The 16,862-nt window shown below is 48.9% G+C and overlaps 1 protein-coding gene and 1 long non-coding RNA gene across 10 annotated transcripts in view, besides 2 other annotated features; one reads left to right on the top strand and one right to left on the bottom strand.

Moving 5' to 3' along the window:
- CLPB (ClpB family mitochondrial disaggregase) overlaps positions 1-16,862 on the top strand; it is a 149,037-nt gene that overhangs the window by 121,565 nt on the left and 10,610 nt on the right. For 7 of the 8 annotated variants that reach the window (NM_001258393.3, XM_005274320.2, NM_001258392.3 and 4 more), the window contains 4 exons: positions 4,363-4,440; positions 5,713-5,768; positions 10,619-10,663; positions 11,003-11,164. In NM_001258393.3, the coding sequence (NP_001245322.1) occupies positions 4,363-4,440; positions 5,713-5,768; positions 10,619-10,663; positions 11,003-11,164 (341 nt within the window). Of the gene's footprint in view, positions 1-1,915; positions 4,442-5,712; positions 5,769-10,618; positions 10,664-11,002; positions 11,165-16,862 lie in introns of those variants that run through there. The other variant, XM_011545289.3, reaches the window with a different exon arrangement.
- Positions 4,022-4,503: a silencer, noted in NCBI's record as "fragment chr11:72019508-72019989 (GRCh37/hg19 assembly coordinates)". NCBI's record gives its function as "represses an EF-1alpha promoter that drives an FKBP-Casp9 reporter gene in an ReSE screen in phorbol 12-myristate 13-acetate-treated (for megakaryocytic differentiation) K562 erythroleukemia cells {active_cell/tissue: K562(+PMA)}" and the evidence as "EXISTENCE:reporter gene assay evidence [ECO:0000049][PMID:32094911]".
- On the bottom strand, positions 10,006-13,004 carry LOC124902708 (uncharacterized). 2 transcript variants are annotated; one of them, XR_007062767.1, is made up of 4 exons: positions 12,787-12,876; positions 12,506-12,601; positions 12,038-12,234; positions 10,538-10,828 (listed from the first exon to the last, which is right to left on the bottom strand). It is a non-coding gene; the product is annotated as an uncharacterized LOC124902708 (long non-coding RNA). The 2 variants fall into 2 exon arrangements; XR_007062766.1 differs by having other exon boundaries at positions 10,006-12,234; positions 12,787-13,004.
- Positions 10,570-11,769: an enhancer, noted in NCBI's record as "MED14-independent group 3 enhancer chr11:72012242-72013441 (GRCh37/hg19 assembly coordinates)". NCBI's record gives its function as "activates an origin of replication core promoter dependent on BRD2, BRD4, P300/CBP and CDK7 cofactors, and independent of MED14, by STARR-seq in HCT116 cells {active_cell/tissue: HCT116}" and the evidence as "EXISTENCE:reporter gene assay evidence [ECO:0000049][PMID:35650434]".

Raw genomic sequence — 16,862 nt, 5'->3', positions numbered from 1 at the left:
ATGTCCCATCATACCTGCAAGTGGCTGGCAATCTCCCTCTCACCCTTCAAGCACAAATGTCAGGCCAGCACAAATGGCTCTTCCCATACTTCCCTCTGTGCACCCATCCCGTTTGGAGCCCACAGTTTTCATAGCAGCCTTTACCTCTATGGCACGCACCTTTTTTGAGGCCTCTTTGTGAGAGCCGCCGCACCTAGCACAGAGCTTTTTTGCTAAACAAATACATAAGGCTTCCTGGAGAAGGATTTAGAAGAAAGTGGAAGCCTTCTTCATGCAAGAGTGGTAGTAACTACCTGGGGCACTAAGAGACTCAAGTCTAGGCCTTACTCTTCTCCTCTTCTCTGTAAAATGAGTTGAAGTACCTGTTCTTTCTCCCTTGCAATTTGAGAAAGACCAATAATTCATTTAGTCAGCAAGTATTAAACCAGTGTTGGGCTAGTCTCAGGGGTCCTCAGAAAATAGGGCACCCAGGACACCCAGCACCTGCTCCCATGGAATATGGTCAGATTGGGGGCACACCCTCCCTGCCAGACACAAGGGCACAGGTAGATGAAACACCTTACACTGCCCGTCTCTGAGCCTCGGTATCCTGTGTAAAATGGAGATAACACCTACTTATCAGGATTATTAGGAGGATGAAAGAGTTACTGTAAAATACCAAAGCTAATGGTAACTACCATTGCTGCTGCTATGACTACCATTATTTTTACTCTTATTGTTATCCCACTCCTCGCCACTTACAAATTGCTTTCATCACCATTAACTTGTTTAATCTGCATGTGGGGCTGACACAGTATATGTGACTGTTCCCATTTTATAGAGGAAGAAACGGAGGCTCTAAAGGAATAAGTGTTTTATTTAAAGTCAGTCAGCTGGTAAGTGACAGAGGCGGGACTCCATGCTAGATCCTGTAACTCCTGCCCTCTCCACTATACCACCCGGTAGATGAATGCATGCCAGAGAATACAGACCTGCAAGTTAATGGCTAGATGTGGTGTGGTGGAGTGAATCAAAAAGAGCTGTTGCAGGTGAGTTTTCAGATGGTCCAGTAGTGACAAGCATGGCCAGGAGAAAGCAGAACACAAGCCAGGTGGGCACCCGGCACTACCTGCTGGGAGGCAGAGCAGCCTGCCTGGAGCTTGTGGCGATGGGACTGGCCAGAGAAGGGAGCCAGGCTGCCTGTGCAGAGGGCCCTGACACCATCTCTAGCCCAAGAGCAGTGACCAAGACAGGGTTAGGGGACAGGGGCTCCTGAGGCCATGTGCTGAATGGCTGAGCAGGCCAGATTGGAAGACTACAGAGAACGTTTTCCAAGGAGTCAGGGTGTGAGGAGGTGCTGTGGCAGCGGAGAGTCAGAGGAGGAGAGCTGACCTTCCTCTAAGCTCCCATAGTACAGCGCAGGCTCAGGCTAAGCCAGAACTGAGGGTAAAGCCCAGGGTCTTTGTTTCTTCCCCCTGTAACCTTAAGCAGGTCACCTAACTTCTGCGTGCATGTTTCCTCACCTATAAAATGGAAATCAAGTCCCCTGTTCTGCTTACCTCACAAGGCTGAAATGAAATTATGTCTACAGAAGTTCTTTATAGACAACAATGAAATGTTGAAGTGAGTCAGTTGTAAATACATTTGCTGGCCACAGTGAGAGCAACAACAACTATGGCCACCTCCCACGTGGGCCCATGCAGGTCTCTGTCCCAGCCTCTACTCTGGCCTGACGGGATCCTCAAGGCCCATAGCCTTGGTCCTCGGCCACCCTGCCAACCACAAACACTAGGGCCCGCCTTCTCCAGTCCTTCCTAGCTGCCACCATTTTTCATTCTGTCAGACTCCATCTGCTTGGCTGTTTTTCTCTTCAGATATTATTAGAAATATCCAGAGTTGGAATTGCTTAATGGTTGGCATTTCACCTGTTTCACAGGGGACCCACATCAAGCCCACCCCGGACTCATGCCCTAGGTCGGGCAGAATTGACCAGGGACAGCTGTGCAGTGAAGTCTGCCTGGCATTATAAAGAGCTCTCTCCCAGGTGCATTCTTAGAAAAGAAGCGGGGAACAGTGGCCCCAGGCATAATTCAATTCCTCATTCTCCATGGTGTTTTTGTACTGCACAGCCCAGCAGTGTGCAGCTCTCTGTGGGCTGGGATGCTACCTTAAAAGAAAAGGCAGGATCAGAACCCCAGGTACATGATACCCTGCAGAACCCACGTAGGGGGATGTCTGGGTACATCTCCCTCCCCAAATACCCCATGAAGCTTGAACTCAGTTCATGCTCAACTTGTTTCCAACCTAGACTCTTAATTTAGCCAACTTTTAGAAGAACACGGCTCCTTTCACGTCACTGCTGTCACCCCTGCCCTAACACGTACACACATGTCCACACAGTATTCACAAGTCTAGCCTTTGCCGTTTCAATATCTTCACTTCCTCAGATACCCACACTCTCAGCTCCCTGTTTCTGTTGGACACCAGGGACTCCCCGCTTAGCCAAGCTTGCACTTTTCCCTCTTCATCCCCAGCATTCAGGTACCTATGAGGTCTGTGGGTTCCCCTTATAGCCAGCCTTTCCAGAGATCCTGGGCCAGTTAGTTTAGACAAAATCTGGATTCTTGCCCAGGAGAGAGGTTATACTGAGCTTTTTCTCAGGCCTCTTTCAGGATTCTCAGGGAGCATTTTCTGGGCAGGCAGAAGTGGCTAGTCTGATGTCCATGAATTTGCACAGCTTCCATCTGTTTCTACTGAGGCCAGAAGTAGAGAGAAAGTCGTATTTTAGGCAGGAACATTAGAGATCGAGATGAGAAAGACCACTGGCTTGAGGCTGAACTCCTAAAACAGTATTCCAGACCTTCACAGTCTGGTCCCACCCCACCACTCCTCATGATCATTCCTGTCTCTCCACCTCTGACATGCTGGCCACCTTTGCCTCTTCAAATCCTGCCCATCCTCCATGATCCATCACCAGTCCTGCCTCTTCCAGAGAACCTTCCCAGACCTCTGCAGTCGTTTCTTTGAAATCCAACCACACAGTATAGTAGTTAGGATCTTGGCAACTCAAGATGGGCAGACACATCCCAAACACTGTCAAATCTTTCCCCATTGACTAGTGTTCCAGGCCTTGTTCTCTGACATCTATCCCTTAGCTAATTTTCCCCTGACACCCTGGGGACCAGATCAGACATGCTGTTCCATTTGCAGACTGACCTTGACATTACACAGTACTCTCTTTCCTGCTCCTGACTGCCGTGTTTCCATTAGTGCAACCAAAATTCATACTTTTTTGAGCAGCCATATGTTACTTTTTTAAAAAAAGACGACAGGTTTAGAGAGAGAAGCAACTCTGCCATCTACTAGTTGTGTGACTTGGGCAAGTCTCTATCTGTTGCCTCAGTTTCGTGTTCAGTATAATGGAGTTGAGAATACTACTTTCCTCTCCGGGTATTTGTGTGGGTCTTGAATAGATACGTTGTTGGTGAATTTTCCCATTGTGCTTAGCATACAGCATGTTCAGTGCATGATTCTTCTTGCAGTTCTGCCTCACTCCACCCCCACTCGTATACTTGAGAATGTTTCTGAGCCTGATTCTCCTACTCCATAATTAAGCACTTAGTTTTCTCAGATTGAATGCATAGCCCTTAATTACATACGTCCTCTTGAAGAGGAGGTCAGGTCTTGCTCTAGCAGAGTTGAGCCTCCAAGGAACCTGGTACCTATCTGTCCCACTCCCCGTGCTCCCCACTCCCTCCACCACTGGAGGCTATGGTCAGCATCTCTGGTAACCATGTGGCTTACCCCTTCCATGCCCTGAGCTCCACATTGCCTTTGATTGACTTCCAGAAAATGCATTTGGCTGTGTTTCCACTTTCTGACCCAGACAGTGGACCAGACCTTAGCTTCCCCAGACAGGAAAGAGTCCAGGGCTCACACCCCACATCCCCAAGGGCCTGCCATGGGCTTCTGCCTCTTGTATTTGCATAGGAGGCGGCCCGTAGTCCCACTAGCGATGAGTAGATGAGTAACCAGTGAGAGCAGAAGTTCCTCTCGAATTCTCCTTCACCAGTCCCCCACCCCCTTCACCTCCATTCACCATCCACCCGCCTTTCAGTTTCCCTAGCAACGCTGAGTGCTCATCCTGGAAAACTTTATCCGAAATCTGCTCTGGGCAGCTTTCCAAATCCATGCTAACCTGATTACGTGTCTCTAGGGGCCTTGCCAGCTAATCAGATTAGGCAGCACTAATGGTAGTGAGGACTTTGAGTGGGCGCAGAGCAGTAAAACATATTGTATACTTAGTGATAATTATCCTGCCTTTTGTGTCATTGATTTATCTGCCTCCCTCCCTGTCCCCTGATCTTGTGTGTTTGGCCGTAGCGATCCGGAGGAAGGAGAATGGCTGGTACGATGAAGAACACCCTCTGGTCTTCCTCTTCTTGGGATCATCTGGAATAGGTAATTGGGAGCAGATCAGCCAGTGGGGACAGAGAGCTAGGGTAGTGCCCGGCCCAAGTCTGACAGCCCCAGCTGCTGCGGGCCAGGGTCAGCAGGTCCAGCTCTAGGTCAACTTGAGCTCTAAAAGCAACGGCCTCCAGATTACAGAGCCACCAAGAAAGAGGACTCTGTTACCATCTGTCATGTTATGAAGAGCTGCAATATGCCCCTCCCTCTGGAAGTTGTGGTGCTAAGACTGATTCACATGGAGGACCAGGCCCTTCAGGGCCCATTAACCCTGGTCCAGCCACTCTGCATGCGCAGAGCCTCCCCTTCGGGAACAGTTGAACCACCTCCTCTGCCCAGCACATCAACCATGTTCAGTACAGCCTAGCTGTAAATGCTAAAGAAGGCCCCTAATGACCACCATGGTGCCAGGTGGATAGCAAAATTGGTTGCAGTAAGATGGGTTGAGTATTTTTCTAGCCAGTTGGGCTGGATTATCCGAGGCATTCTTACCCCTTCATTCTCTGCCCTGACAGAACCCCCCCATTCCTTCACTACCACCTCCCACCAGAAGCACTGGAACCTGAAGGGAACCTGATGGGAAATTTCATGGTTTAGTTTCCTCCTCTTCCCCTCCCAGCATCTTCATGGGCCTCTCCCTCAGATGTAGGCCCCCAAAAGGATACCACCACCTGACCATGATGCTACAGAACTTGACTTTTATACTAGTCAGGGACTTCCAAAGGTTACCATCCACCAAATGGCCCTTCAGAGCCCCCACTTCAGTATTGTCATTCCTTCTCTGTGTTACAAAGAAGGACCGTGAAGCCACAGTGAGAGGTACTCTTCAGCCCCTCCCACCCTCTATCTGCCATGTGGTTCCAGGGCCTGGCTAAATGGCAGGACTGTGGGTATTGAGAGGGATGCAGGGCAGTGAGCCAGGAGGCCTGGGGACTCCTAGAAGAGGTGAGGTTTGTACTGGGCTTTAAAAAGCAAGTTGGTTCTGGATTATAAAGTCAGCCTGTCACTCTTAGGATGGTGCTACAGAGAAAAGGCCTCAATCCCAATCCCAGAAAAATTAAGATGCAGGTGCAGACTTTGATTTTGGTCCCAGCTTCACCATTAACTCCCTAGGTGACTGTGGGAGAGTCGCTGATCCTTTCTGCGCCTCAACATTCTCATCCATAGAATATATTCTTTCTAGTGTCCGTGCATTTCTAGTATTCTTTCATTCCAGCGGTTAGTCACCTGGTTCTAACCCAACACCTCCCCCTTCTTTCTTACTAGGAAAAACAGAGCTGGCCAAGCAGACAGCCAAATATATGCACAAAGATGCTAAAAAGGTAAGAACTGGGACCTAGGTCTGATCTGCAGATCGTGGAGACCTCACCATTCCTGCTATCCCAAAAAATCTGACCCTCTGAATTCAGTAATAGGCAATCAAAAAGATGGGCCCTGACCCAGGAAGCAGACCTCAGCTCTGGCCCCAACTTGGCCACCAGTTGCTCCAGAGATTTGGGCAAGTTATCCCACCTCTTTGTGCCTCAGTTTCTTCATCTGTAAAATAGGAATAATAATCCTTGCCCTGCCTGACTCTTGAGGAAACAAAGTGAGATCTACCATACAACATTTTCAAGCATCTGTGCCATGCCAGGTGTTGTACTAGATGCTGCTAATACAGCATTTATTAAGACACTCCCCCTGCTCCAAGGAGCTCAGGTTGGAGGGGGAAACAGCTTCAGAAAGACAACATTACTGTTCAGTGCAGTCATGGCTGTGCTAATGGGAGTCTTGGGGGCTGTAGGAGAAAACAAGTGGGAATAAGAGGATGCCTTGTTGCCTCTCACTATCCTGCATGAGCTTTTAAACATGGTTTCTTATGTCTTGAGCCTGGGATACTTATAGTCCCCCTTCCTCCATGGCTCAGAGCCCTGGATTCTCCACAGGAGAGGGCCATCCCCATCCCCTGTTTGTTCACACTCAGGCTTTCCAAGGCCTGCTCAGTTTAACTTTTTAGGGAGAAAGGAAATGCTTTTGTGCAGAGACAGCAGTCCTCGGAGAGAGTGCAAAAACATTTCACTGAAAGCCAAACATTCTCCTACCAGCCTTCCCAGCATCCAGGGCAGGAGGTCGCCCGAGACCCCAGATGCTCTTGCCTTTCTAAGGAAAGCCTCCCTGGCCAAGGCAATGAGGAGTTTCTTGGGCCTCTGCCAGCCAAGTGGCCCCAGCAGCACAGAGTCTTGGACTCCTGTTCTCTTTCTGGCTTGCCTGCCCCACTGGCAGCCACAGAAACAAGGTAGCTCAGATTGTGTCCTCCTGAGCCCCCTTCTGCTTCATAAATGGCTGAAGGCTCTTAAACTCCCCCTAGCTCTGCCAGTAGCTGTGCTCTGCCTCCACCAAACCTGGAGCAGACCCACTTGACAAGCAGGCAAGCAAGAAGCAGCGCATAGCATGCTAATGCGCTCCGACCGAGATAGCATTTTTAAGTCAATTCATCAGGTTGGCAGCGATTGAAACAATTAGCACTCTGGAAAGGGCCATAAACTAGCAGGACTATTAGGGAAGATGTAGTTATGGGCAGGAACCACCTGATTAGGGATGAAGAATTCTGAGTGGTTTAATTTTAATACTGTCAGAAAGGTTAATATTTAATTACAAATTATAATCTCCTTATCCAAGCTGTCTTCATATGTCTTCATACACAGTAGAAGTAGAAGGAAAGTATCTACTGACTTGCTGATGTAGAAAGGAGAGGGGGCTTGTTAAAAGACTAATAATGCAAGTAATTTTTTAGTTGGCACAACTGAATGGGAGACAAATTCACCCCAGTGCAGGATGATGTTGGCATCCTTCAGTGCATGCCTCACTCAGAAGGAAGTAACACCACCACCCTCGGAGGCAGTGCACTGTGGTGGACAGAGCTCTGGAGCAACCATTCTTTGCTTCAGGTTCCGGTGCTTCTACTTTCTACTGGCCCTAGGCAGGTAAACTTTACCCCTTGAAGTTTCAGCTCTCTTGCCTCAAGGTGAAAGCCCTCCAACCCATATCTTAGGTTATGGTGAGCATCAAGTGACGATGCTGTGTGCTCATCACTTATGTCATCACATCATGGTGAGCACACAGCAAGTGCCTATTCCTTGACTTGTATTTATTCGTCACTTCCTACTTACCATAGCAGTGCCCCATCTACTCTCCCATTTGATCCTATGGGGAAGATAGCATGGATGCTAAATTAGACCCACTTTTCAGATGAGAAAACTGAGGCCCTACAGCATTCTTAGGCTTATCTAAGGTCACCTATTAGGGGAAGAAATAAAACCAGAATCAATCCAGTCTCTCAACTCCTCACTGTGATACCGTTGTTCTCAGCTGCTCTAGGAAGCTGGATTGGAAACTTGCCAGTGTGTCCCCATTTCACATTGGGAGATGAGAGGCATGAGAAGCTCCATAAAAACAACCATGTATTTTATTTTTAAATCATAGGTGGTGCTTCTATGAAACTCCTGCCTGTGCTAGCCCTGTGGGTCAACTCATTATAGAATCTGTGTTTTGCGTAGACACTTTATAGCCACATGACAGGCATGTTTGAGACCTGCCTTCAAAATCCAAGAGAGCCCTGGACTTTAAGCTACGTAGCCAGTGTACCTGGGACCCAAAGAGTGATGTATGGAAAGTGTCATTCTCAGAGCCCAGTGTAAAATAGACTTTTACCAAACAGAAGCTCCCTTTAATTTGCCTCCCAAGACAGCTGACGAAATGAAATGAGCACTGGCCTGGAGTCTGATGATGTGAATTCTAGTTCTGGCTCTCTGATCCCTAGTTTCTTCATTTGTAAAGAGACACTGACACCTCCAGATCTTGCTGCTTCAGAAGCATTCTTTGTACATTTATATGATTTCTTTATCAGATCTGTGAACTTATTTTTTTCTCTCATTAGCCTGTATACTATTTCTTCCAAATTGAGTGGCTCTGTTAACTTTCCTTACTAGAGCTAATAAGCCTTGGGAAGGAACCTTAATGGTGTTCTGTGATATCATCATAAGGTAGGGTGGTGGAGCCCAAAAGACTTAGTTATAGTAGCAATATGATAAGGGATAAAGAACAACTATCTGAGTCCAGCTGCTTGGGTTCAAATCCCAACTGTACTCTACTAGGTGGAGTTGGCCAGGACCTCTGTTTACATCAGCTTTCTCATCTGTAAAGTAGGCTCCATAATGGTGCCAGTCTCACTGGATTGTTCGGAAGGTTAAATGAGATAGTGATGTAAAATGTTAAACGCCGTTCTTGGCATGTGGTAAGCAATCAGTACATGTTGGATGTTACTCTTATTGTTCTTGCCTCACTAAGATCATGTGAAATCAAAATGATGATTCCGGCCAAGAAAGTCAAGCCCAAAAACTTGTTCAAAATTACATAGCAAATCATTAGAAGAACTAGGGTGAGAACCCAGGTCACTTGACATAAGTAAGCACGAGAGTCTATAGTCCATCTGTCGTCCGACATTCATTGGCATCTGGACACAAAGCTCAGCACCCTTCAAGGTGAAGACTGTCAAGAGCCCAGCTGATTGGCAGAGAGGAAGCTATGAGGCAGTGTAGCATGATGGCTAAGAGCACAGACTTGGAGCTGAATTGCCAAGCGCAGGTGACCTTGAGCAAGTTACTTTAATCTGTGACTTAGTTTTCTCATCTGTAAAGTGGAGATGATAGTAGTGCTTACCTCAGAGACTTGTACATGTTCTAAGCCCTTTATAGCTTGCCTAAAACATTGCCAGGCACATAGTAAATACCCAGTAAATCCTGAAACCTGCAGATCTCTTGACTGAGCAGCCTAGGGACCCTCTGGAAATGCTTTCTGGCTTATGCCCCATGTGCTGATAGCAGTGCTTTCCCCCATGTGGCCTTAATAACTTCTCTAAGCCCTGTCCCACCTCTTGGATTAGATCCTCAGACCCCTGGTGAGGCAGGGAGAGGAGCCAAGAGCCTTCTGTAACACAGGACAAAACTGCAGCTCAAAAAGGGGAGGCAGCATGTCCAAGGCTCCACAGGCAGGCAGAACTAGGACTGGAACCCGAGCCCCCTGGCTCCCAGCCCAGGGTTCTTCTTGCCACCCTGTGTCTCAGCTGTAGAATGACAGGACAGAGAAAGAACTAAAAGTACATCATGGCGTGAATTTCTGACCAGTGGCCAAGCTAGAATATAGCCCTGGATTTCAGACATAGCTACCTCCCGCTGAGAATCTTGGCACCCCCATCATCACCGGCTCTCAGGAGAAGCAGGATTCAGTGAATGCTGTCTCTTAGATGGAGGCATGTGCCAGTAGGAGAGGAGCCCGGGGGACTGTGGGGAACTGTGGTCCTGGCTGTGGCTAGACAGGGCACCTGTGGATGCCTTTACAGCTCCCTAATCAGGTAATGCTTCTTGAAAACCAGTGGGCACTCTGCCTGTGTTAACTCTTCAGATCACATAATGCAAGCTGTTCTCTTCCCCAAGGGCTAACCATGGCCCTCACCCATGGGGCCACTTCCTCGGAAATCACCCCTACACCCTGTGGTGGAGAGAAAAGGGCTGTAAAGCTATGTTATGGATATCTTTTTTAATGAAATGAAGAAATGTAAATACATTTTAAAATATATTCATTTTGAAGAAAAGTAAATCAAAGGGACACGGGCATCACACAGACTTGCAGAGTTGAGAGGCATTCTGGAGCCATCTGAGTGTTTCTCTCCTCCCTCGCACCACAGTCCACACTGATCGTGACTGACTTTGTCCATGTCTGCACCATTCGATGGGGTGCTTCTTAAGGACAGAGACCAAGACTTGTTCCCTGTTGTAACTCCGGTGTCCAGCACACACAGGATGCCCTCAGGAAACGTGGAATGGATGGATGGGTGGGTGGATGATGTGGTGATCAGAACAGGAGAGGCCTCCCTGAAAGAAGACACCCCAAGTCAGATTTAGAAGGTCAGGTACATGATTTGGGTCTTTTAAGGAAGAGAATGAGGGACTCGTAGGAAATGAGTGCACAGAAAAGGAGACAGGAAGTCAGAAAAAAACATCTTGAGCGTGAGATAGAAGATCTTATGTTGGTGTGGTGTGAAAGCCTTGGGGATAGTTGAGGTGCTCTCCTCCCTAACCCTTCTCTTCACTTTCCTGCCTCCAAACGGAGTTGGTACTTGCTTGTTTCCACACAGGGCTTCATCAGGCTGGACATGTCCGAGTTCCAGGAGCGACACGAGGTGAGTGATGACAGTCCTTGATTGAAGCATGGTTTGGAGGGCTTGTCAGCATGACTGCCGGGGTCTTGTCATTTGGGCCTCAGATAATTCCAGCAGCCTTGGGATTTGTCGTTGGGAGCACAGGTGTGCAGCAGGGTCACTGATTTGTTTCACATAGGATTTGCTCTGAAGAATAAACATAGAGAAGATCTATCTGCCACACCAGGAGATGGACAGCCAATCATCTCTGTTGAGAGAGGCAACCTTAATAGCGTATAAAGTCATCTTCCCATGCATGCCCCATGTTGGAAACTAAAAGCACAGAAAGGCCTTCCTAGCATGTTTCCTTCCTTCTACCAGGTGGCCAAGTTTATTGGGTCTCCACCAGGCTACGTTGGCCATGAGGAGGGTGGCCAGCTGACCAAGAAGTTGAAGCAGTGCCCCAATGCTGTGGTGCTCTTTGATGAAGTAGACAAGGCCCATCCAGATGTGCTCACCATCATGCTGCAGCTGTTTGATGAGGTGAGTCACCTTGGGCCAGGATGGAGCGGGGGGACACCTGGAGATAAGGGGGACTGTGAACAGCAGAAAGCAAGGGCCCAGAGGCTAGCTGGTCATTCCTCGGCTTCCTGCTCCCGCATGTGTACATTCATTCATCCAGTAGGTGCAACTTAGCCCCTCTGCACTAGGGCCTGGGTGGGGCACTCAAGCGAAGACCAGCCCTGCCTAAGAGTTGAAATTGTGTGGCTGCTCAGCCCACCTTCTAGAGAGACATGGTATGGCAGAGGTGCCATGAGAGCGAGACATGAATTTTTAGTTCCAGCTCTGCTCCTGACTGGCTTTGTGGCCTTGGCAAGTCACTGCCCATCTCTAGGCATCAGAGATCTCATGTGACAAACGAGGAGGCTGAATCAGAGAAGCCCCAAAAATCCTTCTGCCTCAGACAGCTCTTGTTCCTCCCTGTGTGCCAAACATTGTCTCCTGCAGTTCTTTAAAATGCTAATATTGTTGCTGCTAATGGTGAGATGCTGATACTCTGATTCATGGAGCCTTTCTCTTCTGAGAATCTGAGGGTTCTCACAGACTGTCCAGTTCCCCTGCTCGTAGGGGTAAGTTCTAAATGGAGAGAAGAGCTTACTTCTATCCAGTACCTTCTGTGTACTAGACCTGTACTAAAGACGTTACAGCCATTATCACTAATCCTCACAAGGTAGGTAGAAAAATTCCTAACAGGCAAGGGAGAAATTAGCTCATTTTTTACAGATGAAGAAACTGAGGTTCAGAGAGGTTATAAAAGACATGCCTAAGGCCACAGCTGCTGTGTAAAGAGCCAAGATTGGGCTGCAGATATGTCTGATCCCAGAGCCCCAATTCTCCCCCCATACCACTGTTTACCTTGAACCAGGCGAGGGATTGCTTACGATCACGGAAGAAGATGACTTCCACCTTTTCAGGGGCCCTGCTCCATCAAGAGAGCGTGAGGAGCCAAGGACTGAACCGGGGATGAGGCCTCTCTTCTCTCATGCAGGGGCTATATTAGCTAGCACCTGGCCATGAGTCCAGCTCACCTTTCTACCTAGTCTCCTGCAGCCCTAGGAAAACAAAAAGGTGGTTTGCTTCCCATGTCATAGGAGGCCACAGGGAGGGGACTCCTCCAGACCGAACAGCACATCAGGTACCAAGCCAGGAAGATCCAGATCCAGATCTCCTACCAGCTGCTCACTGCCTTCCCCACCTGGCCCAGCCTCCTTGCCCCTGCCCGTTCCGTTGTATCTTCCTAGCCCTTCAGCTGCTCCCTGCCCCTGAACCTCTGCTGAGGAAGAAGAGACCAGTCCTTCAGAGGTCACATACTCAGTTACTCACGTGTACACTGAGGCCTCTACTCCATTCCAGCCTCTTGATGGGATTCAAGTGCACAGCTATGACCAGACCCGAATGTGCCCTCTTGGAGCTCTCTGCCTGGTAGACAGGTGGAAAGGAGACATGGTAGTAGCTGGCATTTTGCATTTTGTGTGCCATTCGCTGTCTTCAGAGGCTTATGTGTATCAATTTAACCCTTTCAACAACCCTCCAAAGCTAGCTATTATTACGGCCTCCATTGAACAGATGTGGAAACTGAAGCAAAGTAAGATTAAGTCATTTACCTGTGGTCATGCAGCTGGGGAGAGAGAATCAAGGATTCAAACCCAGGCAGCCCAGTTCTAGATCCTGCAGCTTGAATGACTGCCACGCAGCTAGGGCCAAAAGAGCGAGGTCCGTCTCAGTGAAGCACGCAAGGGACGGGACCATGCCGCTGAGGGAGGGTGAGCATCGCGGCCTGTTTGATCTCTGGTCTCCCTGGAGAGGCACCTCTGATGGCATTCTTGGCCCAAAAAACAGAAGGCAACTGCTGACTGAAGTACAATCAGCCATACATGGAAGCCCTGTCTCCCCCTCCTCCGTCACTTCACTCCACTGACTGCCTTTTAGGGGTTGATAGGAATTCCTTCCTGCAGCTGTTGTCGCCCCTTCCCCCAGCCCCAGCCTACTATAGTTTCTGATGCTCTTGGTTCCATTGACCAAAGCTGCCATCCAGGTTTACTCGATTTAGGCTCTTTGAGGATGGGCCCTTGTCATGTTCACTTGAACCATTCCCAGAGCCCACAAAGTCAGGGGAAATGTTGTATTGACTAATTTAATTCAACAGTAGTTTTAATTCAACAGTAGTTAGCAAACCTTCAAAGGGTTAGTAAGTGCTAGGTGAACAGAGTGGCGGGGCTGGCAGTAGAAACCTAATGTATAAAAGTACAGGGCATGAAACAGGCTGGCATGCTCAGGGAACTGCAGCTGGTCAGTACTGCTCGATTGCAGAGGGAAAACAAGGACAGAGTGCTAGAGACAAGGTAGGTAAGGTAAACAGGGCCCAGTTAAAATGCCAGGCACAGAAGTTTGCATTTCTCTGGTAGAGAGTAAGGAGCCTTTTAAAGACTTTAAGCAAGAAAGAAACAGTCAAATTTTCACTTTACAAAGATGCCGTGGGCAGCTGTGTAAAGAATGGATGAGAAGGGAGAGGGTCATTAACAAGGAGACTGCTGGGGAGCCCAAGCTACAGCTGGGGAGGCCATGGGCTGGAGAAACTACTAGAAGGTTGACTGAGGAGAGGAGGAGGAGCCAAGGGTGGCCAGTTGGCTGCTGCCAGTTGGCCATCAGCTAAGGCGGCGAACACAGTGGGAAGCCGCAGATTGAAGAGGAAGGTGAGGCACTGAGGTGTGGAAATGTTGAAGGTGAGATACCTGAGGGACATCCAGATGGAGATGGCCAAGGGGCCGTTCATCAGTTTTATGGGTCAGGAGTTTAGGAAAGGTCTGACTGAAAATAGCAGTTCAGGAATCCTTCAGCCCAGAGAGGTTAACGGAAGCCACAGGAATGGATGAGGTCTGTAACCCAGGGAGTGTATAATGTGCAGAGAAAAGAGGGCTATACACAGAGCCTTGGGACCTATCAGGGAAGTCAAGACAGACTCGCCAGAGAAGTAGGAGGCAAAACCAGGCCAGGCATGATGGGTCACACCTGTAATCCCAGCACTTTGGAAGGCCGAGGTGGGCAGATCACTTGAATTCAGGGGTTCGAGACCAGCTTGGGCAACATGGCAAAACCTTGTCTCTACAAAAAATACAAAAATCAGCTGGGCATAGTGACATGTGCCTGTAGTCCTCACTACTCAGGAGGCTGAGGTGGGAGGATGGCTTGAGCCTCAGAGGCTGAGGTTGCAGTGAGCAGAGATTGCACCACTGCGCTCCAACCTGGGCAACAGAGCCAGACCCTGTCTCAAAAACAAAAAAGAGCCAACCAAAAGAATGTGGCTCATTCATTTATTCATGAGGCGCTGTGTGGGGTAGAGGGGACACTGACAAAACAGATGCAGCCCTGGCCTTGGCGTGACCAATGAGTGCGGAGACAGGCAGCTAAAAAGTAGTTCAGTCCACTGTGGTCGGTGCTGCGCTAGGGACAAGCAGCAAGTGCCAGGAGTTGTAGGGGCACCTAATCCAGGCTGGAGGTGTGAGGGAAGCAGCCTCACCCCTACCCAGTCTAGTTCTCCCAAGCCTGGGCCCAGAAAAGTAAGAACCCTATTGCTCTCATCAAAGCACCAAGCAGGTCTACTGCTGGCCACTCACAGGTGACCCCAGGGCAGAAGTCCCAGAAAGAGACTAGTCCCCAGAGAGCCCAGCCCCCACTCCTCCCACCAAGGAGTCATACGTGAGACAGTGGGAAAGCAGCCCCATAACCCTGGGGTGAGCATTCAAGCCCCACCCAAGATGTGCACGCTCTGGTTGTTAGAGGGAGGTGAGGCACGGACAGCTTCCTGTTTGAGACACATCTTTATTGCTAAGGAAACTGAGGAGGAGACATGAGCACTGAAAGTCACCCTTTGGGTCAGTCATGCACTGCACCTGCTCCCCTCACCCACCTGGGACCCATCCTCAGGCCCAGTTATGAGCAGAGCTTTGATCTCTGAGAATGAAATTGCTGCTAGGTTATTGCTCTGGCCAGTATAGCAGTGTGTGAACCCAGTCCTTAGGGATGAGCTCTGCAAAGTGAGTATGGAACACACACACAGTCATATGCACATGCTTGGACATGTCACACACACACACACACACACACACACACACACACACACACACACACACACACACACACACACACACCTGGTCCCCAAAACTAGAACTGCCCTCAGTGGATCTGTTAGATTAGAACCCATAAGCAGTGGGGTAAGAGTGAAAAGCTGCTGGTAAAAGCTCAAGGACATCTGCTTGCACCCTTGCTTCCCTTTTCCTGCCCCAAGGCAGGGACAGCAGAGTGACCAGCTCCAGGATGTGGATTACCAGGCCCCTTGTGTATAGACCCTTTGGGAATTAACAGTTTCTCAAAGGCCTCTGCCAAGGTCCAGTGGAAAGCAAGGCTGGAAACTACACCCAGCATGCAGTAAGCTAGCTCGGTTGATGCACAGTCCTTTCTCCTTTGCTCCTAAGGAGTAGGACTGGGTTTACCATTACACTGGCTTTAGAAGCAAGGGCTAACCCTGAAGCTCGGGCAGGGCCCAGCATCCCTGGCTCAGGCAGGAGCCAACAGGCTGAGGTCAGTGATGTATATCCCCAGAGCCACGGTTTCTGGCTTGGCGGGAGCTGTGCTTTCTCTGCTTCCCAAAAGAAATCTCAGGTAGATCTCCTCCCTAGCACCTGTCCCAGTTGCATCTCTCCAGTGAGGATCAAACTGAATTTGGCAGAATTCTGAGAAAATTCTGTCGAAGGAAAGAAAATAGCACGAGGCCTCATTCATCCAGCACCATTGGTCTGACCTCTGTAGCCTGGTGCAGAGGAAGGGCATGGGCTCTGAGGTCAGATAGTTCAAGTCTCGCCTCTACTGTATCCTAGCTGTGAAACCTCGAACAAGTTATGATCCTCTCTGAGCCTCAGTTTCTTTGTAGGGGTCCTAACTGCACCTACCTCCAAGGGTGGATGTGAAGATTCCAGCCTCCAGCAAGCAGGTGTCAAACACCTACTCTGTACCGGACGCTGTTCTGGGACACAGTGATGAACAAGACCCAGCCTCTGTTGTCAAGGAGCCACTTTCCTAGTAGAAGGAGTGGGGTTGTACACAAAAAGCACTAAGCAGAGCATCTGTGATGAAAGTAGAAGTCCCTGTCCGTGTTCGGCATTGTCACTCTATTGCTTGCTCTCAAGGAGTCCCTGATCATTGCTTTTGTTATAAATGACATAAAGTGCTGTTGTACGGTCATGCCCTTGAGGTTCGCTGAGTGAGCGGGGCTCTGTACCCTTCAACTGATTGGTCCCAGAACACTGTACTTTTATCATTCTTCTGTCTCTGCCCTATACTGTTTGCTCCTTTTCTCCTTCTTTGGTGCATCTTTCTCCAGTATAGATGCCTCCTTTGTCCCTTCTAGAAAGAGCTGAAGATTCCAAGGAAACTTCCCAAGGTGGTTAAAGAAGCAATCTCATTTTTTATCCCTGTTAGGCCAGGCGGCAGCTCCAAAGATAAAAGAGGTTGTCCTGTTTCATTATATATCACCTACTACAGTAATAATAGCTCTGAACATTTGAACAGCATGGTTTACTAAGAATTTTCACCAGATAACCACATCTAGTCCTGACAGTAGCCATGTAAAGTACCCTCCTCTGAATTCCTGCAGCATGCTGGGCTTCCCTTTATTATCATACGT

The sequence above is a fragment of the Homo sapiens genome, chromosome 11, assembly GCF_000001405.40.
Source record: "Homo sapiens chromosome 11, GRCh38.p14 Primary Assembly".
Lineage (NCBI taxonomy): Eukaryota > Metazoa > Chordata > Mammalia > Primates > Hominidae > Homo > Homo sapiens.
Note: the sequence above shows the minus strand (reverse complement) of the source record. Positions and strands in the feature narration are given on the sequence as shown.